Genomic DNA, 24,611 nt, shown 5'->3' on the forward strand with positions numbered 1-24,611 from the left:
TCTTGGGAGGGTGTATGTGTCCAGGAATTTATCCATTTCTTCTAGATTTTCTAGTTTATTTGCATAGATGTGTTTATAGTATTCTCTGATGGTAGTCTGTATTTCTGTGGGATCGGTGGTGATATATCCTTTATCATTTTTTTGCATCTATTTGATTCTTCTCTCTTTTCTTCTGTATTAGTCTTGCTAGCAGTCTATCAATTTTGTTGATCTTTTCAAAAAACCAGCTCCTGGATTCATTAATTTTTTGAAGGGTTTTTTGTGTCTCTATTTCCTTCAGTTCTGCTCTGATCTTAGTTATTTCTTGCCTTCTGCTAGCTTTTGAATGTGTTTGCTCTTGCTTCTCTAGTTCTCTTAATTGTGATGTTAGGGTGTCAATTTTGGATCTTTCCTGCTTTCGCTTGTGGGCATTTAGTGCTATAAATTTCCCTCTACACACTGCTTTGAATGTGTCCCAGAGATTCTGGTATGTTGTGTCTTTGTTCTCGTTGGTTTCAAAGAACATCTTTATTTCTGCCTTCATTTCGTTATGTACCCAGTAGTCATTCAGGAGCAGGTTGTTCAGTTTCCATGTAGTTGATCAGTTTTGAGTGAGTTTCTTAATCCTGAGTTCTAGTTTGATTGCACTGTGGTCTGAGAGACAGTTTGTTATAAATTCTGTTCTTTTACATTTGCTGAGGAGTGCTTTACTTCCAACTATGTGGTCAGTTTTGGAATAGGTGTGGTGTGGTGTGGTGCTGAAAAGAATGTATATTCTGTGGATTTGGGGTGGAGAGTTCTGTAGATGTCTATTAGGTCCACTTGGTGCAGAGCTGAGTTCAATTCCTGGAGATCCTTGTTAACTTTCTGTCTCATTGATCTGTCTAATGTTGACAGTGGAGTGTTAAAGTCTCCCATTATTATTGTGTGGGTGTCTAAGTCTCTTTGTAGGTCTCTAAGGACTTGCTCTATGAATCTGGGTGCTCCTGTATTGGGTGCATATATAGTTAGGATAGTTAGCTCTTCTTGTTGAATTGATCCCTTTACCATTGTGTAATGGCCTTCTTTGTCTCTTTTGATCTTTGTTGGTTTAAAGTCTGTTTTATCAGAGACTAGGATTGCAACCCCTTCCTTTTTTTGTTTTCCATTTGCTTGGTAGAACTTCCTCCATCCCTTTATTTTGAGCCTTTGTGTGTCACTGATGGGTCTTGACTCTTTATCCAATTTTCCAGTCTGTGTCTTTTAATTGCAACATTTAGCCCATTTACATTTAATGTTAATATTGTTATGTGTGAATTTGATCCTGTCATTATGACGTTAGCTGGTTATTCTGCTCGTTAGTTGATGCAGTTTCTTCCCAGCCTCGATGGTCTCTACAGTTTGGCATGTTTTTGCAGTGACTAGTACCTTTCCATGTTGAGTGCTTCCTTCAGGAGCTCTTTTAGGGCAGGCCTGGTGGTGACAAAATCTCTCGGCATTTGCCTGTCTGTAAAGGATTTTATTTCTCCTTCACTTATGAAGCTTAGTTTGGCTGATATGAAATTCTGGGTTGAAAATTCTTTTCTTTAAGAATGTTGAATATCGGCCCCCACTCTCTTCTGGCTTGTAGAGTTTCTGCCAAGAGATCAGCTGGTAGTCTGATGGGCTTCCCTTTGTGGGTAACCCGACCTTTCTCTCTGGCTGCCCTTAACATTTTTTCCTTCATTTCAACTTTGGTGAATCTGACAATTATGTGTCTTGGAGTTGCTCTTCTCGAGGAGTATCTTCGTGGCATTCTCTGTATTTTCTGAATTTGAATGTTGGCCTGCCTTGCTAGATTGGGGAAGTTCTCCTGGAGAATATCCTGCAGAGTGTTTTCCAACTTGGTTCCATTCTCCCCATCACTTTGAGGTACACCAATCAGACATATATTTGTTCTTTTCACATAGTCCCATATTTCTTGGAGGCTTTGTTCATTTCTTTTTATTCTTTTTTCTCTAAACTTCTCTTCTCACTTCATTTCATTCATTTGATCTTCCATCACTTATACCCTTTCTTCAAGTTGATCGAATTGGCTACTGAGGCTTGTGCCTTTGTCACGTAGTTCTTGTGCTGTGGTTTTCAGCTCTGTCAGGTCCTTTAAGGACTTCTCTGCATTTGTTATTCTAGTTATCCATTTGTCTAATCTTTTTTCAATGTTTTTAACTTCTTTGCCATGGGTTCAAACTTCCTCCTTTAGCCCGGAGTAGTTTGATCATCTGAAGCCTTCTTCTCTAAACTCTTCAAAGTCATTCTCTGTCCAGCTTTGTTCTGTTGCTGGTGAGGAGCTGTGTTCCTTTGGAGGAGGCGAGGCACTCTGATTTTTAGATTTTTCAGTTTTTCTGCTGTTTTTCCCCCATCTTTGTGGTTTTATCTACCTTTGGTCTTTGATGATGGTGACATACAGATGGGGTTTTGGTGTGGATGTCCTTTCTTTTTGTTAGGGATGTGAAGGACCTCTTCAAGGAGAACTTCAAACCACTGCTCAATGAAATAAAAGAAGATACAAACAAATGGAAGAACATTCCATGCTCATGGGTAGGAAGAATCAATATTGTGAAAATGGCCATACTGCCCAAGGTAATTTAGAGATTCAATGCCATCCCCATCAAGCTACCAATGACTTTCTTCACAGAATTGGAAAAAACTACTTTAAAGTTCATATGGAACCAAAAAAGAGCCCACATTGCCAAGTCAATCCTAATCCAAAACAACAAAGCTGGAGGCATCATGCTACCAGACCTCAAAGTATACTACAAGGCTACAGTAACCAAAACAGCATGGTTCTGGTACCAAAACAGAGATATAGACCAATGGAACAGAACAGAGCCCTCAGAAATAATGCCGCATATCTACAACCATCTGATCTTTGACAAATCTGACAAAAACTACCCATGGGGAAAGGATTCCCTATTTAATACATGGTGCTGGGAAAACTGGCTAGCCATATGTAGAAAGCTGAAACTGGATCCCTTCCTTACACCTTATAATAAAATTAATTCGAGATGGATTAAAGATTTAAATGTTAGACCTAAAACCATAAAAACCCTGGAAGAAAACCTAGGCAATACCATTCAGGACATAGGCATTGGCAAGTACTTCATGTCTAAAACACCAAAAGCAATGATAATAAAAGACAAAATTGACAGTTGGGATCTAATTAAACTAAAGAGCTTCTGCACAGCAAAAGAAACTACCATCAGAGTGAACAGGCAACCTACAGAATGAGAGAAAATGTTTGCAATCTACTCATCTGACAAAGGGCTAATATCCAGAATCTACAAATAACCGAAACACATTTAGAATTAAAAAAACAACCCCATCAAAAAGTGGGTGAAGAATATGAACAGACACTTCTCAAAAGAAGACATTTATGCAGCCAACAGACACATGAAAAAATGCTCATCATCCCTAGCCATCAGAGAAATGCAAATCAAAGCCACAGTGAGATACCATCTCACACCAGTTAGAATGGCGATCATTAAAAAGTCAGGAAATAACAGGTTCTGGAGAGGATGTGGAGAAATAGGAACACTTTTACACTGTTGGTGGGACTGTAAACTGGTTCAATCATTGTGGAAGACAGTATGGCGATTCGTCAAGGATCTAGAACTAGATATACCATTTGACCCAGCCATCCAATTACTGGGTATATACCCAAAGGATTATAAATCATGCTGCTATAAAGACACATGCGCATGTATGTTTATTGAGGCACTATTCACAATAACAAAGCCTTGGAACCAACCGAAATGTCCATCAGTGATAGATTGGATTAAGAAAATGTTGCACATATTCTATGCAGCCATAAAAAAGGATGAGCTCATGACCTTTGTAGGGACACGGATGAAGCTGGAAACCATCATTCTCAGCAAACTATCACAAGGACACAAAACCAAACATCATATGTTGTCACTCATAGGTGGGAATTGAACAATGAGAACACTTGGACATGGGAAGGGGAATATCACAGTTCAAGGCCTGTCGTGGGGTGTGTGAAGGTGGGAGGGATAGCATTAGGAGATATACCTAATGTAAATGACGAGTTAATGGGTGCAGCACACCAATATGGTACATGTATACATACGTAACAAACCTGCACGTTGTGCACATGTACCCTAGAACTTAAAGTATAAAAAAAAGAAAAATAACTCCAGACTTAGAAGCTCACTCAAAACTGCACAACTACATGGAAACTGAACAACCTCCTCCTGAATGACTACTGGGTAAATAACGAAATTAAGGTAGGAATAAAGATTTTCTTTGAAACCAATGAGAACAAAGACACAACATAGCAGAATCTTTGGGACACATTTAGAGCATTGTTTAGAGGGAAATTTATAGCACTAAATGCCCACAAGAGAAAGCAGGAAAGATCCAAAATCAACATGCTAACATCACAATTAAAAGAACTGGAGAAGAAAGTGCAAACAAATTTAAATGCTAGCAGAAGACAAGAAATAACTAAGATCAGAGCAATACTGAAGGAGATAGAGACACAAAAAACCCTCAAAAAAAATCAATGAATCCAGGAGCTGGTTTTTCGAAAAGATCAACAAATTAGACCGCTAGCCAGACTAATAAAGAAGAAAAGAGAGAAGAATAAAATAGACACAATAAAAAATGATAAAGGGTATATCACAACTGGTCCCACAGAAATACAAATGACCATCAGTGAAAACTATAAACACCTCTACCTAAATAATCTAGAAAATCTAGAAGAAATGAATAAATTCCTGGACAGATACACCTTCCCAAGTCTAACCCAGGAAGAAGTCTAATCCCTGAATATAGCAATAGCAAATTATGAAATTGAGGCAGTAATTAATAGCCTACCAACAAAAAAAAGTCCAGGACCAGACAGATTCACAGCCAAAATCTACCAGAGGTACAAGGAGGAGCTTGTACCATTCCGTTTGAAACTATTCCAAACAATAGAAAAAGAGGAATTCCTCCCTAATTCATTATATGATGCCAGCATCATCCTGGTACCACAACCTGGCAGAGACACAACAAAAACAGAAAATTTCAGGCCAATACCCCTGATGAACATCAAGGTGAAAATCCTCAATAAAATACTAGCAAACCAAATCCAGCAGCACATCAAAAAGCTTGTCTGTCACGATCAAGTTGGCTTCATCCCTGGGATGCAAGGCTGGTTCAACATATGCAAATCAATAAATGTAACTCATCAGATAAACAGAACCAATGACAAAAACCACATGATTATCTCAACAGATGCAGGGAAGGCCTTTGATAAAATTCAACAGCCCTTCATGCTAAAAACTCTCAATAAACTAGGTATTGATGGAATGTATGTCAATATAATAAGAGCTATTTATGACAAACCCACAACCAATATCATACTGAATGGGCAAATGCTGGAAGCATTCCCTTTGAAAACCAGCACAAGACAAGGATGGCCTCTCTCACCACTCCTATTCAACATAGTATTGGAAGTTCTGGCCAGGGCAATCAGGCAAGAGAAAGAAATAAAGGGTATTCAAATAGGAACAGAGGAAGTCAAATTGTCTCCGTCTGCAGATGACATGTTTGTACATTTAGAAAACCCCATTATCTCAGCCCAAAATCTCCTTAAGCTGATAAGCAACTTCAGCAAAGTCTCAGGATACAAAATCACTGTGCAACAATCACTAGCATTCCTATACACCAATAACAGACAGAGAACCAAATAATGAGTGAACTCCTATTCACAATTGCTACAAAGAGAATAAAATACCTAGGAATAAAACTTACAAGGGGTGTGAAGGACCTCTTCAAGGCGAACTAGAAACCACTGCTCAAGGAAATAAGAGAGAACACGAACAAATGGAAAAACATTCCATGCTTATGGATAGGAAGAACCAATATCGTGAAAATGGCCATACTGCCCAAATGAATTTATAGATTCAATGCTATTCCCATCAAGCTACCACTGACTTTCTTCACAGAACTGGAAAATCTACTTTACATTTCATATGGAACCAAAAAAGAGCCCACATTGCCAAGAAAATCCTAAGCAAAAAGAACAATACTGGAGACATCATGCTACCTGACTTCAAACTCTACTACCAGGCTACAGTAGCCAAAACAGCATGGTACTGGTACCAAAACAGATATACAGTCCAATGGAACAGAACAGAGGCCTCAGAAATAACACCATACATCTACAACCATCTGATTTTTGACAAATCTGACAAAAACAAGCAATGGGAAAATGATTTCCTATTTAATAAATGGTGTTGGGAAAACAGGCTAGCCATATGCAGAAAACTGAAACTGGACCCCTTTCTAACACTTTATACAAAAAGTAACTCAAGATGGATTAAAGACTTAAACACAAGACCTAAAATCATAAAAACCCTAAAAGAAAACCTAGGCAATACCATTCAGGACATAGGCATGGTCAAAGACTTCATGACTAAAACAGCAAAAGCAATGGCAGCAAAAGCCAAAATGGACAAATGAGATCTAATTATACAACAGAGCTTCTGCACAGCAAAAGAAACTATCATAAGGGTGAAAAGGCAACCTACAGAATGGGAGAAAATTTTTGCAATCTACCCATCTGACAAAGGGCTAATATCCAGAATCTATAAAAACGTAAATAAATTTACAAGAAAAAAACAAACAGCCCCATCAAAAAGTGGGTGAAGGATATGAACAGACACTTCTCCAAAGAAAACATTTATGCAGCCAACGAACATATGAAAAAAAGCTCATCATCACTGGTCATTAGAGAAATTCAAATTGAAACCACAATAACATACCATCGCACGCCAATTAGAATGGTGATCATTAAAAAGTCAGGAAACAACGGATGCTGGAGAGGATGTGGAGAAATAGCAACGCTTTTACACTGTTGGTCGGAGTGTAAATTAGTTCAACCATTGTGGAAGATAGTGTGGGGATTCCTTAAGGATCTAGAACCAGAAATACCATTTGACCCAGCAATTCCATTACTGGGTATATACCCAAAGGATTATAAATCATTCTACTATAAAGACACAGGCACACATGTGTTTATTGTATCACTATTCACAATAGCAAAGACTTGGAACCAACCCAAGTGCCCATCAATTTTAGACTGGATAAAGAAAATGTGGCACATAGATACCATGGATTACCATGCAGCTATAAAAACAGGATGAGTTCATGTCTTTTGCAGGGACATGGATGAAGCTGGGAACCATCATTCTCAGCAAACTAACACAAGAACAGAAAACCAAACACCTCATATTCTCACTCATAAGTGTGAGTTGAACAATGAGAACACATAGATACACGGAGGGGAACATCACATGCTGTGGTCTTTCAGGGTTGGGATGCTAGGGGAGGGATAGCATTAGGAAAACTACGTAATGTAGGCGATGGGTTGATGGGTGCAGAAAACCTCCATGGCACATGTATACCTATGTAACAAATCTGGACGTTTTGCACAAATACCCCAGAACTTAAAGTATAATAAGGAAAAAATAAACACTTTATGTGAAAAAAAAATCCTTAGGAATATATCTAAACAAGAAGGTGAAAGACCTCTACAAGGAAAATTCAAAACACTTCTGAAAGTAATCATAGACGACACAAACAAATGGAAACATAACCCATGTCATGGACGAGTAGAATCAATATTGTGAACAGGATCATAATGCCAAAAGCAATCTACACATTCAATGCAATTCTCATCAAAATACTAATATCATTCTTCACAGAATTAGAAAAAACAATTCTAAAATTCATATTGAAGCAAAATAGCCCATATAGCCAAAAAGAATAAATCTGGAGGCATCATATTACCTGGTTTCAAACTATGCTATAAGGCAATAGTTACGAATACAGCATGGTACTGGTATTAAAATATACCCACAGACCAATGGAACAAAACACAAAATCAGAAATAAATCCAAATACAGCCAACTGATCTTCGACAAAGCAAACAAAAATATAAAGTGGGGAGAGGACACCCTTTTCAACTAATGGTGCTGGAATAATTGGCTAACCACATGTAGGAGAATGAAACTGGATCCTCATCTCTCACCTCATACAAAAATCAACTCAAGATGGATTAAGGACTGAAATCTAAGACCTGAAACTATAAAAATTCTAGAAGATAACTTTGGAAAAACCCTTATAGACATTGGCTTAGCCAAAGATTTCATGACCAGGAACACAAAAGCAAATGCAATAAAAACAAAGATAAATAGCTGGGACTTAATTAAACTAAAGAGCTTTTGCACAGCAAAAGGAACAGTCAGCAGAGTAAACAGACAACCCATACAGTGGGAGAAAATCTTCACAATCTATACATCTGACAAAGGACTAATATCCAGGATGTACGAGGAACTCAAATCAGAAAGACAAAAACAAACAATCCCATCAAAAAGTGGGCTAAGGACATGAATAGACAATTCTCAAAAGAAGATATACAAATGGCCAAGAAATGTATTAAAAAATGCTCAACATCACTAATTATCAGAGAGATGCAAATTAAAACCACAATTTAATACCACCTTACTCTTGCAAGAATGGCCATAATCAAAGAAATTAAAAAATAGTAGATGTTGGCATGGATGTGGCAAACAGGGAACACTGCTACACTGCTGGTAGGAATGTCAACTAATGGAAACAGTGTGGAGATTCCTTAAAGAACTAAAAGTAGAACTACCATTTCATCCAGCAATCCCATTACTGGGTATCTACCCAGAGGAAAAGAAGTCATTATACAGAAAAGATAGTTGCACACGCATGTTTATAGCAGCATAATTCGCAATTGCAAAAACGTGGAACCAACCCAAATGTCCATCAATCAATGAGTGGATAAAGAAGCTGTGAGATATATATATATATACACATATATATGTGTATATATATGTGTATATATACATATATATGTATATATATATATACACATATATATATGTGTATATATATATATGTATATATATATGGAATACTACTCAGCCATAAAAAGGAATGAATTAATGGCTTTTGCAGCGACCTGGATGAGATTGGAGACTAATATTCTAAGTGAAGTAACTCAGGAATGGAAAACCAAACATTGTATGTTCTCACTCATAAGTGGGAGCTTAGCTATGATGGATACAAAGGCATATGAATGATACAATGAACTTTGGGGTCTTGGAGGAAAAGGGTGGGAAGGGCTTGAGAGATAAAAGACTACAAATAGGGTACAGTGTATACTGCTCGAGTGATGGATGCACCAAAATCTCTCAAATCACCACTAAAGAACTTACTCATCTAACCAAACAGCACCTGTTCCCCAATAACCTATGGAAATAAAAAAAAAATTATAAAAAAATCTGTATAGGCATGTTAAAAAAAGGAAGGACAGAAATACCATTCAACTCAGCAATCCCATTACTGGGTATATACCCAAAGGAACATAAATTATTGTTTTATTAAAGACACATGCACACATATGTTAACTCCAGCACTATTTACAATAACAAAGACATGGAATCAACCTAACTACCCATTAATGATAGAATGGATAAAGAAAATGTGGTACATATACACCATGGAATACTATGCAACCATAAAAAATAATGAGATCATGTCCTTTGCAGGGACATGGATGGAGCTGGAGCCTATTATCCTTAGCAAACTAACACAAGAACAGAAAACCAAATGCTGCATGTTCTCACTTATAAGTGGGAGCTAAATGATGAGAACACATGGACACATAGTGGGGAACAACACACACTGGAGCCTACTGCAGAGTGCATGGTGTGAGAAGGGAGAGGATCAGGAAAGACAACTAGTGGGTACTAGGCTTAATACCTGGGCGATGAAATAATCTTTACAACAAGCCCCCATGACAGAAGTTAACCTATGTAACAAACCTGCACATATATCCCTGAACTTAAAAGTTAAAAAAAAAAAAAGATTCTTGTATCCCATCTCGGATCTACAGAATCACAATCTCAAAAATGAGCCGTAAGAACCTGCATTTTAACAAGCTCTACAATTATTGTGGTACATACTGATGTTTGAAAAGTACTGCCCTAGACACTCTTACCTCAGGCCGTTATAGTGAGTCCATACACTTAAAAATAAGCGTCTTTCCAAGTACTTTAAAGATTCAAAATGATAGTGGATCTGAAATGCCGCCTGAGTCCCCATGACAACGTGTACACTGTGGGGCCCAACCAATAAAGATAAGAAAAGCTTTGGCGGTCAAGCATACTTGGGAAGCTGCAGTTTCTAGAACAGTCTAGTAGAGGACAGCCTCTTCAGCAGCCTGCTAGGCATTTTTTTACTTCTTCCTTCTGTTATGCAGACAAGCTAACTGAAGATGCGGTTACTGAGATATAATTTCTCTGCTAGGTCACAAAGTCTGAAAACATGGGCCTTACGTGTGTAACTGTGTATCATCACCTGCCACCCCCAGTTTTTCCTGGCTCTACTAATCACCCAAAGTTCTGAATGCAGAAGCCCCAGGGGCCCCCGGAAGATCCTTCAAGCTGGCATCCTTGGCCTCGCTGCGGGGGCTTAGCTACCTGTGGGAACCCACGTAGCAAGGGTGACTCAAAGGGTTAACAAGCAGTGGCGCCGCAGAGTGGCGGGGAGTGCAGCCAATAGGGTGTCTAGGCAGGCAGTACGTCTGGTGTGGGCGGGAGTGAGCCAAAGTGTGCTAAAGGAAACCAACAGCGGCCTAGGGGTGAAAGGACAGCCAGGGTTAGATGTTCTGAGGAGGCGGGAGCAACCGAGAGAGCACGTGAGCATCTGTCCTTTCTACCCGTTCCTCTTTATCTTTAGTGTTCAGTAGCAGCGGGGATAGCCCGGGGCCCGGTGTATGGCCACGGAGTTACAGTGTCCGGACTCCATGCCCTGTCACAACCAGCAAGTAAACTCTGCCTCAACCCCAAGTCCCGAGCAGCTGCGACCTGGCGATCTGATCCTGGACCACGCAGGGGGAAACAGAGCCTCCAGGGCCAAGGTGATTCTCCTCACGGGGTACGCCCATTCTAGCCTGCCGGCCGAGCTGGACTCTGGGGCCTGCGGCGGCTCCAGCCTCAACTCAGAGGGCAACAGTGGTAGTGGTGACAGTAGCAGCTATGACGCACCAGCTGGCAACTCCTTCCTAGAGGACTGCGAACTCTCCCGGCAGATCGGGGCGCAGCTTAAGCTGCTGCCTATGAATGATCAGATACGGGAGCTACAGACCATCATCCGTGACAAGTAAGCCAAGAGCGGAAGGGGAAAGGGAAGTGGAGGGTCTTGCAGGCTGTGGGCGGGGATTGGAAGTAAAAGGGCTAAGAGACAGTGTTCTTGGCCTTGGCAAACTTTGGAGATTGGGGTAAGACCTTTTATTTGGTGTGTGTGTGTGTGTGTGTGTGTGTGTGTGTGTGTGTGTGTCGTGTAACTCGAACGCCAACCTTCTCTTTCCAAGTTCCGGTGTCTAACATCACTTTGGGTGGGGAGGAAGACTTTAGGTAGCCTCTGGGCTCTTTGTCTCTCCCAGGAAAGACAACTCCTTGGCCATTCCAGGCAGGTAAACTCCCCTATACTATGTGGGCAGTGCTTGTCCACATGGTAAACCTATAACCCAGAAATGGTTACTATCCAAGGTTATGCACTACCACCAATCACCTCAGGTTCATAAATAGAAATAAAGCAATTTCAAGGAAATTCTATTCAGGCCCTGACCCTTTAGTATTTGCTACTGCAAACAAGGTCTTTTAGTCTTGGAGTTCAGGTTTACTTGATCACATGAAAGCTTATCGTCCAACTCTTATCATTTTTCACTGTAAACTCACAGAACATAGTTAATGGATCAAAGGGAGCCTAAAGGAGCCTTTGGCCCTTCCTAATCCCACAAACCAATGTAGCCAGAACTTCATGTTAAAATGTAATTTTGAAATTTCTAAACCTACGTTGTAAATGGGTTTTCTCCAGGGAAATATGTACCATGATGAACTACAGCTATTTTCTTTATTGGCAGCACTTTAAATGAGCAGCATATCAAAACACCCCTTTTTTAGTGGCAGGGGTTGGGGGGACATGCCTTGATCTTTTAAAAATGGCTACTGAATGACAGATGCCACTCCCTAAACCAGACTCTAGAAACCTTGTCTTACACTATTGTAATAATACTGTTTCTCTGCTTGCAGTTTTTCCTCTCTTCCACATGCACCCATACATTACTGTACAATCAATCTTCATAACATACATCTTTGATTCAGTAATTGCCCTACTCAGCAACCTTCTTTGGCTTCTCAGAGCCTACCAAATAAAGTCCAGGATCCTTAGCTTGATTGATATTTTTGAGACAGGATCTTTCTCTGTCACCCAGGCTGGAGTGCAGTGGTGAGATCACAGCTTACTGTACCCTCATACTTCTGGGCTCAAGTAATCCTCCTGCCTTAGCCTCCTGAGTAGCTGGGACTACAGGGACATGGCACTGCCCCCCGGCTAATTTTTTATTTTTTTGTAGAGATGGAGGTCTTGCTATATTGTCCACGATGGTCTTGAACTCCTGGCCTCAAGCAATCCTCGTGCCTCGGCCTCCTAAAATGTTGGGATTACAGGTGTGAGCCACCATGCCTGGCCCCCTTAGCTTGGGATGAAGGCCCTTCTTCATAGTTCCTAGGAACAATTCTGAAACATATCTGTTTCTGCTCTCATCTGGAATTCCCTGTGTCTCCTTTATGTACGTTCAGGATACTTATTCTTCAGGGTGAAACACAGCATTAAATAATTGTCCACCTCTGCCAAGAAGCTTCCCTTTAATCATTATTCCTGGCTTATCTTCCCTGGTCTTTTTAATGCAAGATTCACCTTCTTTTTCGTATATTGTTATTTTTGTATAGATCTTATCCTGCCTATGACATCTTGAAGGCAGAAATCTTTTACATTTTTGAATGCCGGCCATGCCTTGCAAATAATAGATGCTCAATTACTAGAGTTTTTTTGTAGCTCTTAAAATTATATTTATGAAACTATACTATTTTACTCTTTTTAATGAATCAATATTGAAAACTACTGTGGTTATGTTATCTAATAGACAAAATAGTGATCCTAAAAAATAGGAGGCATAGGTTTGCTGTAGTTGTGGTAGGGTAGGGGCAGCCAAAATAAATCTTACATATACAACAAAGAAAAATAGATGATGATTCTTGTTTCTATAGAGCAGAAGTTACTACGCTTGGGTCTTCGACTCCCTCGTACCAGTAGATGGGTTCAGGGCTTTAACAAACCCTCATAAATTAACTGGGAAATTTTACTCATATGAAGATTTTTAATAGTTGTTTTTAAATAACATCTTTATTGAGATATAATTCACAGACCATACAGTTCAAGAATTTAAAGTGTATAATTCAGTGGTTTTAAGTATGTTCACAGCTGTGCATTCATCACCACAGTTTTAGAACATTTGTCATCACCCCAGCAAGAAACCTCATGCCCATTAAACAGTCACTCCCCATTTTCACCCAACCCACCCAAAGCCCTAGACAATCATTAATCTACTTTCTATTTCTAATGGTTTGCCCATTCTGCACATTACATATAAAAAATGTCTATTCTGGACATTTCATTATCATACAATATGTGGTCATTTTGTGACTCATTTCATTTAGCATGTTTTCAAGGTTCATCCGTGTGGGATCTTTCCTTTTTATGATTAAATGATACTCCATTATATGAATATACCACAATTTGTTTATCCATCAGTTGGTGAACATTTGGGTGGTTTACCACTCTTTGGCTATTATGAATAATGCTGCTATGAACATTCACATATGTGCCTTTTTTTTTAGAGGGTGAGGATTCCTTAGTTTTTTAGATTTCACAAAGTGTCATGATAATGTAAAGGTGAAGTGCCCTTGCTATAGCGCTTGGAGAGGGAATGGCATTTAGCATTCACATATGACAAAATAATACCTGATTATATGTCATTAGTCAGAAAAACCTGGGTTATGTAGTAAACCTGGGTGTAAGTGGAATCCTTTTTTTTTTTTCCTCTAAGTTTGGAAGGAGACAGCAGGATCCAGAGAAGTGATTTAGGCAATATGTTTAGCATCTCTGTGCTTCACCTTTATCATTTGTAAAATGAAGATGTTGGTAAATATCACATGGAGCCCCTGGGAGGCTAAAACAAGATACTGTTCATGAATATTCATTATGAACTGTGAAGAGCTGTTCACATTTAAGGAATTTCAAGCCTCATGTTTGGATTTGTGCATGCTTCTAATTGCATTCATAAGTGCTGTCTTCTTGATTTGTCAGAAGACAGTAAAATGAATTTAACTCTATGTGGAATTCACTTTTTTATCTTGAAAATGAATACTGGGATATTGTAGATAATTTTTATCTTGTTTTGATATAGTATGGAAAGACCCACCACAATTTTTAGTAATGTATTGCTGCTTATTTAGGCTGGGGACATTGTTTTTAGTTTTGTTTTTGTTAACCAAATTAGAGGCTTTATATTCCCTTTATCTTTAAAAAATTGTCATCCTCTCTCACAAGACCTGTTTTAGCCCCTCTAGGAGGCTGGTTTAAGGTGCCTATGGTAAGAGGAGCTATATTTACATAGGTCTAGTTATGGAAGGTGCCATCAGTTATCATACCCTGTTCTCTTTGGGGCTTATTCTCTTCTCTATTTTGATGTGACAGCATAAATGTGCACTGTGGAACTGTCCGATAATAGAAGCCACTGGAGTACATATTTTTTCTTTTATTGTTTCTGGTCCTTAGCATCTATATAGTGAAGGGATTGCTTTGTGAATTGACTTTGGTATGGGGAAATCGGGATTGAGCCAGCAGGACTGCATGTTGTTGTATATATGTGAAACAGGCAAGATTGAGAACATTGTCTGTATTGATTTAAAATGTCTTTTTAGATTTTGAAATGTGCAATATTTGAAACATAATATGTTGGTTGTATTATTGAATTTCAAGGAAATAAATTTCTCTCTTTGAAAGTGCAGTAAACACTGAGTAGATTATTTGCTCAGCCATACGTATGTGGGTTGCTGGTGAACTTGGGATAAGAAAAAATTTCTTCATTTATGTCGTTTTGTTGTTGTTGCAATGGATTAAACCACACATCCTTCTCTTCTGCCTCCTTTATATACTAAACTCAGCAAAATCTGAGTAATGTGCTTTTCCTGTGAATATAGTTCATGACCTCATATTTAAAGGCAATGCAGTGTATTTAAAAGATCATCCTCCCTGTCCAGTTTTTTGTTTTTTATTTTTTGTTTCCTGAAACATTAAAGCTGTTGTGTGAGCTGTTGAATGCTTCCTGTGTATTTGTCCTAGGTGGGGCTTTGGCATGGCCTCAGCAAGCTGCTTGTTTAAAAGTTTAGCAATGTTAGAGTATGTCAGTATGTGACATAGGACAAAAAAAGGAGCACATTCAGCCTTGTGACTCTCTTTAGTCACCTGGAGGGGAGAAAATTATCCTTAGGGTGAATGAACATCCTGTGTAACCCTAATGTGAGTGCAATCTAATGTGATTTGAGTTATGTGACTAAGTAATGTATTGTCCTTAACCAAAGCTGTGTGCATCAGAATTGCCTGTGGAGTCTCTCTCTCTTTTTTTAAAATACAAGTTCCTGACTCCCATCCTTAGCAGTTGTTTGTATAGTCTTGAGTAAAACCTGACCACAGGTAATTGTGCTGTGTTTAGACTGGGCCATTGCCCCTGGGAGAATGGCCAGTCTCCCTTGTGTGCTGATTTGCTAGCCTGCTGATTCGGGCTATAGATATGGTGATCCAGGGATTCCACACACTAAACAGAACTAGGCTAGAGAGCCTGACCTAGCATTACATCAACACTGGAGGAATCTCCCAACATTTCCTTCCAGCTTGCACAAAACCAAAATGCCCACCGCAGAAAAAAACTGTGACGTGCAAATTGTTTAAAACATGGACATATTTTCGGTTTTTGTGTGTTTCCCGTGTGAGTCCTCTGACTTTTAGAGCAGGAAGGAGGAAGTCACCACTAAGCTATACGGACCTCTGTTATAACATTTACTGGGCATATCCTGGTATACCTAACTAGACTGGACTCCAAGGAGGCAGAAAGGGGGTCTGACCTGGCACAGTCCCTGACACAAAGGATAATTAATGTAGCAATTGTAATCAGATAAAATGATAGTTTCCCTTGTTTTTCTGTCCCATTTTTTTGCAATAATTTCAACATTTGTTTTATTTTTTTAAAGCTTTCAGGTTTCACTTATTTATTTTTTTCCATAAGTTATTGGGGTACAGGTGGTATTTGATTACATGAGTAAGTTCTTTAGTGGTGATTTATGAGATTTTGGTGCACCCATCACCCAAGCAGTATACACTGCATCATATTTGTAGTCTTTTATCCCTTGACCCCCTCCCACCCTTTCCTCCCAAGTTGCTAAAGTCCATTATATTATTCTTATATCTTTGCATCCTCATAGCTTAGCTGCCACATACTAGTGAGAACATATGATGTTTAGTTTTCCATTCATGAGTTACATCACTTAGAATAGTAATCTCTAATCTCATCCAGGTCACTGCAAATGCTGTTAATTCATTTTTTTAATGGCTGACTAGTATTCCATCATATATATATATTTGATATGTATTCCATCATATATATATATTTGTTGGCCATTTGTATATCTTCTTTTGAGAATTGTCTATTCATGTCCTTAGCCCACTTTTTGATGGGATTGTTTGTTTTTTTTTTTCTTGCTGATTTGTTTGAGTTCCTCGTAGATTCTGGATATTAGTCCTTTGTCAGATGTATAGATTGTGAAGATTTTCTCCCACTATATGGGTTGTCTGTTTACTCTGCTGACTGTTTCTTTTGCTGTGCAAAAGCTCTTTAGTTTAATTAAGTCCCAGCTATTTATCTTTGTTTTTATTGCATTTGCTTTTGTGTTCCTGGTCATGAAATCTTTGGCTAAGCCAATGTATGTAAGCCAAAGTTATCTTCTAGAATTTTTATAGTTTCAGGTCTTAGATTTCAGCCCTTAATCCATCTTGAGTTGATTTTTGTATAAGGTGAGAGATGAGGATCCAGTTTCATTCTCCTACATGTGGTTAGCCAATTATCCCAGCAACATTAGTTGAAAAGGGTGTCCTTTCCCCACTTCATATTTTTGTTTGCTTTGTCGAAGATCAGTTGGCTATAAGTATTTGGGTTTATTTCTGAGTTCTCTGTTCTGTTCCATTGGTCTTTGTGCCTATTTTTGTACCAGTGCCATGCTGTTTTGATGACTGTGGCCTTATAGTATAGTTTGAAATCAGGTAGTGTGACACTTCCAGGTTTGTTCTTTCTGCTTAGTCTTGCTTTGGCTGTGTGGGGTCTTTTGTGGTTCCATATGAATTTTAGAATTGTTTTTTCTAATTCTGTGAAGAATGATGGTGGTATTTTGATGGGAATTGCATTGAATTTGTAGATTGCTTTTGGCAGTATGATCATTTTCACAATATTGACTCTACCCATCCATGAGCATGGGATGTGTTTCCATTCATTTGTGTCATCTATTATTTCTTTCAGCAGTGTTTTGAAGTTTTACTTGTAGAGGTCTTTCAACTCCTTAGGTAAATTCCTAAGGATTTTATTTTTTTTGGCAGCTATTGTAGAGGGTTGAGTTCTTGATTTGATTCTCAGCTTGGGTACTGTTTGTGTATAGAAGAGCTACTGATTTGTGTACATTAATCTTGTATCCAGAAACTGCTGAATTCTTTTATCAGTTCTAGGAGCTTTCTGGAGGAGCCTTTAGGGTTTTCAAGGTAAAAGATCATATCCTCAGCAAACAGTGACAGTCTGACTTCCACTTTATCAATTTGGATGCCCCTTATTTCTTTCTCTTGTCTGATTGCTCTGGCTAGGACCTCCAGTACTATGTTGAAGAGGAATGGTGAGGGTGGCATCCTTGTCTTGTTCCAGTTCTTAGAGTGAATGCTTTGAACTTTTCCCCATTTAGTATTATGTTGTCTGTGGGTTTGTCATAGATGGCTTTTATTACATTAAGTTGTGTCCTTTCTATGCTGATTTTGCTGAGAGTTTTAATCATGGAGGTATGCTGCATTTTGTTGAATGCTTTTTCTGCATCTATTGAGATGATCCTGTGATGTTTGTTTTTAATTCTGTTTATGTGGTGTGTCACATTTATTGACTTGCATACATTAAACCATCCCTGCATCCCTGATATGAAACCCACTTGATCATGGTGGATTATCTTTTTGATGTGCTGTTGGAATTGGTTAGCTAGTATTTTGTTAAGGATTTTAGCATCTATGTTCATCAAGGATATCAGTCTGTAGTTTTCTTTTTTGGTCATATCCTTCCCTGGTTTTGCTATCAGGGTGATGCTGGCTTCATAGAATGAATTAGGGAGCATTCCCTCTTTCTCTGTCTTGTGGAATAGTGTCAAAAGGAATGTTTTCAATTCTTCTTTGAATGTCTCATAGAAGTCTTCTGTGAATCTATCTGATCCTGGACTTTTTTTTTGTTGGTAATTTTTAAATTACCATTTCAGTCTTGCTGGTTGTTATTGGTCTGTTCAGGGTATCAAATTTTTCCTGATTTAAGCAAGGAGGGTTGTATTTTTTTCAGGAATTTATCCATCTCTTCTGGGTTTTCTAGTTTATGTGTGTAAGGGTGTTCATAGTAGCCTTGAATGATCTTTTGTATTTCTCTGGTGTCAGTTGTAATATCTCCTGTTTCATTTCTTAGTGAGGTCATTTGGATTTTCTCTCTTCTTGGTTAATCTTGCTAATAGTCTATTAATTTAATTTATCTTTTCAAAGAACCAGCTTTTTGTTTCATTTATCTTATATTTTTTTTTTTGCTTCAATTTCACTTAGTTCTGCTCTGATCTTGGTTATTTCCTTTCTTCTGCTGGATTTGGGTTTGGTTTGTTCTTGTTTCTCTAGTTCCTTGAGGTGTGACCTTAGAATGTCAGTTTGTGTTCTTTCAGTCTTTTTGATGTAGGTGTTTAGGGCTGTGAACTTCCCTCTTAGCACTGCCTTTGCTGTATGCCAGAGGTTTTGGGAGGTTGTGTCATTATTTGGGAGGTATGTGTCATTCAGTTTGAAGAATTTTTAAATTTCCATCTTGATTTTGTTTTTGACCCAGTGATCATTCAGGAACAGGTTATTTAATTTCATGTATTTGCATGATTTTGAAGGTTACTTTTGGAGTTGATTTCCAGTTTTATTCCACTGCGGTCTGAGAGAGTGCTTGATATAATTTCAGTTTTCTTAAATTTATTCAGGCTTGTTTTATGGCCTATCATATGGTATGTCTTGGAGAAAGTTCCATGCACTGTTGAATAGAATATGTATTCTGCAGTTGTTGGACGAAATGTTCTGTATGTATCTGTTAAGTCAATTTGTTCCGAGGTATAGTTTAAATCCATTGTTTCTTTGTTGACCTTCTGTCTTGATGACCTGTCTAGTGCTGTCAGTGGAGTACTGAAGTCCCCCACTGTTATTGTGTTGTTGTCTAACTCATTTCTTAGGTCTGTTAGTAATTGTTTTATAAATTTGGGAGGTCCTATGTTAGGTGCATATATGTTTAAGATTGTGATAGTTTTCCATTGGACAAGGCTTTTCACCATTATATAATGTCCCTCTTTGTCTTTGTTAACTGCTGTTGCTTTCAAGTTTGTTTCTTCTGATATAACAACAGCTACTCCAGCTCGGTTTTGGTGTCCATTTGCATGAAGTGTCTCTTTCCACTTCTTTACCTTACGTTTGTGTGAGTCCTCATGTGTTAGGTGAGTCTCCTGAAGGCAGCAGATAATTGGTTGGTGAGTTCTTATCCATTCTGCGGTTTTGTATCTTTTAAGTGGAGCATTTAGGCCATTTACATTCAATGTTAGTATTGAAATGTGAGGTTCTGTTGCATTGATTGTGCTCTTTGTTGTCTATGTACTGTTTTTTTTTGTTTTTAGTTTTGGCCTTTTACCTGTATTTTTGTTATATAGGTCCTGCATGATTTATGCTTTAAAGAGTTTCTGTTTTGATGTGTTTCCAGGATTTGTTTCAAGAATTAGAGCTCCTTTTAGTGGTTTTTGTAGTGGTGGCTTGATAATGGTGAATTCTCTTAGCCTTTGTCTGAAAAAGGCTATATTTTTCCTTCATGTATGATGCTTAGTTTTGCTGCACACAAAATTCTTGGCTGATTTTTTGTTTGTTTGTTTGTTTGTTTGAGGAGGCTGAAGATAGATAGCTCATAGCTTGTAGGGTTTCTGCTGACAAATCTGCTGTTAATCTGATAGGTTTTCATAGGTTATCTGGTGTTTTTGTCTCACAGCTCTTAAGATTCTTTCCTTCATCTTAACTTTGGATAGCCCGACGAAAATGTGCCTAGGCTATGACCTTTTTGTGATGAATTTTCCAGGCATTCTTTGTGCTTCTCATATTTGGATGTCTATGTCTCTATCAAGGCTGGGGAAATTTTCCTCAATTATTCCCCCAAATGTGTTTTCCAAGCTTTTAGAATTCTCTTCTTCCTCAGGAACACGGATTATTCCTAGGTTTAGTTGTTTAACATAATCCTAGAATTCTTGGAGGCTTTGTTCATATTTTCTTATTCTTTTTTCTTTGTCTTTGTTGGATTGGGTTAATTCAAATACCTTGTCTTCAAGCTGTCAATTTCTGTCTTCTACTTGTTCAATTCGGTTGCTGAGACTGTCCAGAACATTTCCCATATCTAAAAGTATGTCCAAAGTTTCCTAAATTTTTGATTGTTTTTTCTTTGAGCTATCTGTTTCCTTGAATATTTCTCCATTCAGTTCTTGTATCGTTTTTGGATTTCCTTGCATTGGGCTTTGCCTTTCTCTGGTGCCTCCCTGATTAGCTTAATAACTAACCTCCTGAATTCCTCTTCAGGTAAATCAGGGATTTCTTCTTGGTTTGGATCCATTGCTGGTGAACTAGTGTGATTTTTGGGGGCTGTTAAAGAGCCTTGTTATGTAATATTACCAGGGTTTGTTTTCTGTTTCATTCTCATTTGGGTATGCTCTGTCAGAGGGAAGATCTAGGGCCAAAGGCTGTTGTTCAGATTCTTTTGTCCCACGGGGTGTTTCCTTGATGTAGTACTCTCCTCCGTTTCCTATGGATGTGGCTTCCTGTGAGCTGAACTGCTGTGATTGTTGTCTCTCTTCTGGATCCAGCTACCCAGAGAGTCTGTTCAGCTCTGGGCTGGTACTGGGTGTTGTCTGCATGGAGTTCTGTGATGTGAACCGCCTATGGGTCTGTCAGCCATGGATACCAGTGCCTGTTCCAGTGGAGGTGGCAGGGGGGGGTGCAGTGGACTCCATTATGGTTTTTAGCTTTGGTGGTTTAATGTTCTATTTTTTTGCTGGTTGGCCTCCTGCCAGGAGGTGGCACTTTCCAGAGAGCATCACCTGTAGTAGTATGGAGAGGGACTGGTGGTGGGTGGGGCCCTAGAAATCCTAAGATTATATGCCCTTTGTCTTCTGCTACCAGGGTGAGTAGGGAAGGAACATTAGGTGGGGGCAGGGCTAGGTGTGTCTGAGCTCAGGCTGTCCTTGGGCCGGTCTTGCTGTGGCTGCCGTAGGGGATGGGGTCGAGATGCCCAGGTCACTGGAGTTGTGTACCTAGGAGGATTATGGCTGCCTCTGCTGAGTTCTGCAGGTTGTCAGGGAAGTGGGGGAAAGCCAGGAGTCACAGGCCTCACCCAGCTCCCATGTAAACCGAAGTGCTGGTCTCACTCCCACCATGCCCCCTCCAACAGCCCCAAGTCTGTTTCCAGGCAGTGGGCACGACTGGCTTGAAAAATTGCCCAGACTACCTGCCTCCAAGTTGAGAAAGAAAAACTTCTTTCCCTGCCTGTGGAGTCTGCACACTGGATTTGTGCCCTCCCCCTAGTTCTGGCCAGGAGGCTTCTTGCCCCATTGAAATTGTTAAAAAGGTCAGCTAGAGATTTCCTTCTCCCTGTGGAGATTTACCCCCTGCTCCTCTGGCCTCCCTCCTGATGGATCCCTGTTTTGTCAGGCAGGAATGGGCTGCTTGGGGACCCAGCAAGCTTCCAGGGCCTTTCTGCTGCTTTCTCTACCCCTGTATTTCACTCGGCTCTCTAAATTGACTCAGCTCCAGGTAAGGTCATACATTTCTCCCACAAACAGACCTTCAGATTCTTCAGTGGGGGTGTGTGTTTGGGAGGGGAGGGTCTCCCTTTCTCACTTCCACAGTTGGGGCACTCACAGTATTTGGGGTATCTCCCAGGTCCTGCAGGAGCAATCTGCTTCCTTAAGAGGGTCTGTGGGTCCTCTCCTCTGTCCTATTTTGAATGTTCACATTGAATGCAGCTTTGAGGTGCAGGTAAATAGTTATTGACACTCTGTGAGTTTATTAAGAAGGCGCTAAAGTGCTGTGGCCTTGATGCCTTGCACCTGGCAAAAAAAAAAAATAGTAACATAATATTATTTTTTTTAAACTTTTTGCTTTTGGTTAAATTTGCTCCAAATTCTTCACTGGGGGTTTGTTTTTGTGAAGGTAAAGGAAGGAGAAGGAAAACCATTCATAAATCATCTGTATACTACGACAAACTTTGGGACTATATTTTAGTGATCACATAATAATAAAGTAGTTATGGATGTAAAGCTCATGTTTTCACTAAACATTAAATGAAACATTCCTTTGGTTAAAACCTGCCGGAAAAGCTTTTTTTGTTGTACTTTCCTTTAACTTGTTGCTCAAAACCAAAAAAAGCACATTAGAGCTGAGTTTGAGTCCATTTAATTCTTCCTCCTCAACTTAGATTGCCTGGCAAAGTACAGGATGCTCAGTTAAATCTGAATTCAAATAAACAATGAATAATTTTTTATGTTAAGTATGTCCTAAATATTTCATGGGATTTCTGAAATACAAATTTACTTGGGGGGGGGGTGGGTCCTGATTTTGATTTACTTAATCTGGCAAACCTATGCCCAACTACAACACCCAACCTGCCCCTCGCCCCATATGCTACAAACAAACTTTGTATATAATCCTCCCAGAGAGAGTGATATATTTAAATTTTTGAAATGACAATTAATTCAGTGCTACTAGCATTTTATTTAAATTAAGTTGTTTTTAGGTGATAAGTCACAAGATTTTGCTTTAGTCATTGTTGGAAAGGGTATATTCTTGTATGTGGTAACCTTAGTACGTATTTTACAAGCCACGTTATAAAAACTTTTCCCTCTTCAGAAGGAATATTTTAATGATGTTTTATTTGCCTCCCAAACTCTTTCATTGTTTTGTGTTTCCATTGTATATACATATCAATCGGAGTCACAGGGAGAGAAGTATCATAACAGGACATCTAAAAAATTGGCTACCTTTTAGTAGTAAGCATTCCCTTATTAGGGCAAAATATAAGTCATTGCTTTTCTCAGAGACTTGGAATTGGAGAGCTCCAGGCTGTGAGGAACCTGACTTTACTTTTGGAAGCCTCACTGTTCTCATTGCTAAAGTGGTAGTGATAATAAAATCTACTTCTTAAATTGTATGAAGATTAGATGAGATAATATACCAAAAGTGGTTACTACTGGGCACCAAGGAAGCTTTTAATAGATGGTGGCCTCTGGAAAAGAAGGTAGTAATATGTGTATAACATTAGGTACCTCCTGTAATTTATGGACCTTTTTTTAAGAAGAGTTATATACTTAAGTCTTTGTAATTTAGGATATATATATGTCACACACACACACATACGTATGTATATGTAGTTGTTAAATTGATTTTTGTAAAAAAAAGATGAGGGTTGTTAAGTGTATTCTGAATAGAGAGAAGAAACAGAATGAGTGATAAAATGTCAATATCTGCTGTGAGAATTGAAGTTGTAATTATCCCAGGGGAGAATCCCTCCATTTAGAAGTTGTAGTAATAGTAATAGTACTAGTAGTAGTGAGGCTTAGTAAGAAGATGGGAGAAGCTCCCCATGTTAACATTTTAATATTATAAAAATTTTCCTCTTTTTCATATTTCTATATCTTGTGGATAGGTAACTATTAGTTTATTGAAAGAAAGATCAGTGAGACTCTTAAAAGGTTTCATGTTGTTTTGGGTCTACTATGAGATGTAGATATTTTTAAATATATACAATTGCTACAGCCCCAGGAAATGTTAAAGTGCTTTATAGACAGTCTCACTTAATATTTAGGAAAGAGTCAGGTTTAACAAGTCCACATTAAATTGAGGATTTGCAAAAAATTCTTTGAAATAAAACAGAGACACAACATACCAAAATCTCTGAGATGCAGCAAAAGCAGCATTAAGAGGAGTTTATAGTGCTAAACACCTCAAAAAGTTAAAAAGATCTCATTAACAATCTAATGTCACACCTAGAGGAACTAGAAAAACAAGAAAAAACTAACCCCAAAGCTAGCAGAAGAAAATACATAATTAAAGTCGGAGTGGAAGTGAATGAAATTGATACACAAAAATTCATACAGAGGATCAACAAAGTCAAAAGTTACTTCTTTGAAAGGATAAACAAAATCGATAGACCATTAGCTAGATTAACAAAGGAAAAAAAGGGAGAAGATCCAAATAAGCGCAATCTGAAAAGGCAAAGGTGACATTACAAATAATCCCATGTAAATACAAAAGATCCTCAGAGACTATTATGAACAACTCTA

The 24,611-nt window shown here is 38.7% G+C and overlaps 1 protein-coding gene and 1 long non-coding RNA gene across 8 annotated transcripts in view, besides 3 other annotated features; one reads left to right on the top strand and one right to left on the bottom strand.

Annotated features, from left to right (window-relative positions):
- LOC124905200 (uncharacterized) overlaps positions 1-10,595 on the bottom strand; it is a 58,324-nt gene extending 47,729 nt beyond the window's left edge. For both annotated transcript variants that reach the window (XR_007068269.1, XR_007068268.1), the window contains exon 1: positions 10,037-10,595. This is a non-coding gene — a long non-coding RNA (uncharacterized LOC124905200). The remainder of the gene's footprint in view (positions 1-10,036) is intronic.
- UPRT (uracil phosphoribosyltransferase homolog) overlaps positions 1-24,611 on the top strand; it is a 148,529-nt gene that overhangs the window by 107,073 nt on the left and 16,845 nt on the right. For 3 of the 6 annotated variants that reach the window (NR_030774.1, NM_001307944.1, XM_011530867.4), the window contains exon 1: positions 10,618-11,199. The exons of 1 other annotated variant lie outside the window; for it this stretch is intronic. Coding sequence is in view for 3 of the 5 variants with exons in the window: in NM_001307944.1 (NP_001294873.1) it covers positions 10,814-11,199 (386 nt within the window). In the remaining 2 variants the exon portion in view is untranslated. Of the gene's footprint in view, positions 1-10,617; positions 11,200-11,221; positions 11,318-24,611 lie in introns of those variants that run through there. 2 more of the 6 variants (NM_145052.4, XM_047441832.1) reach the window with 2 other exon arrangements.
- Positions 10,535-10,584: an enhancer, noted in NCBI's record as "active region_29771". NCBI's record gives its function as "activates an Ori minimal core promoter by ATAC-STARR-seq in GM12878 lymphoblastoid cells {active_cell/tissue: GM12878}" and the evidence as "EXISTENCE:reporter gene assay evidence [ECO:0000049][PMID:35858748]".
- Positions 10,605-10,654: an enhancer, noted in NCBI's record as "active region_29772". NCBI's record gives its function as "activates an Ori minimal core promoter by ATAC-STARR-seq in GM12878 lymphoblastoid cells {active_cell/tissue: GM12878}" and the evidence as "EXISTENCE:reporter gene assay evidence [ECO:0000049][PMID:35858748]".
- Positions 10,815-11,024: an enhancer, noted in NCBI's record as "active region_29773". NCBI's record gives its function as "activates an Ori minimal core promoter by ATAC-STARR-seq in GM12878 lymphoblastoid cells {active_cell/tissue: GM12878}" and the evidence as "EXISTENCE:reporter gene assay evidence [ECO:0000049][PMID:35858748]".

Source organism: Homo sapiens, chromosome X, assembly GCF_000001405.40.
Source record: "Homo sapiens chromosome X, GRCh38.p14 Primary Assembly".
NCBI lineage: Eukaryota > Metazoa > Chordata > Mammalia > Primates > Hominidae > Homo > Homo sapiens.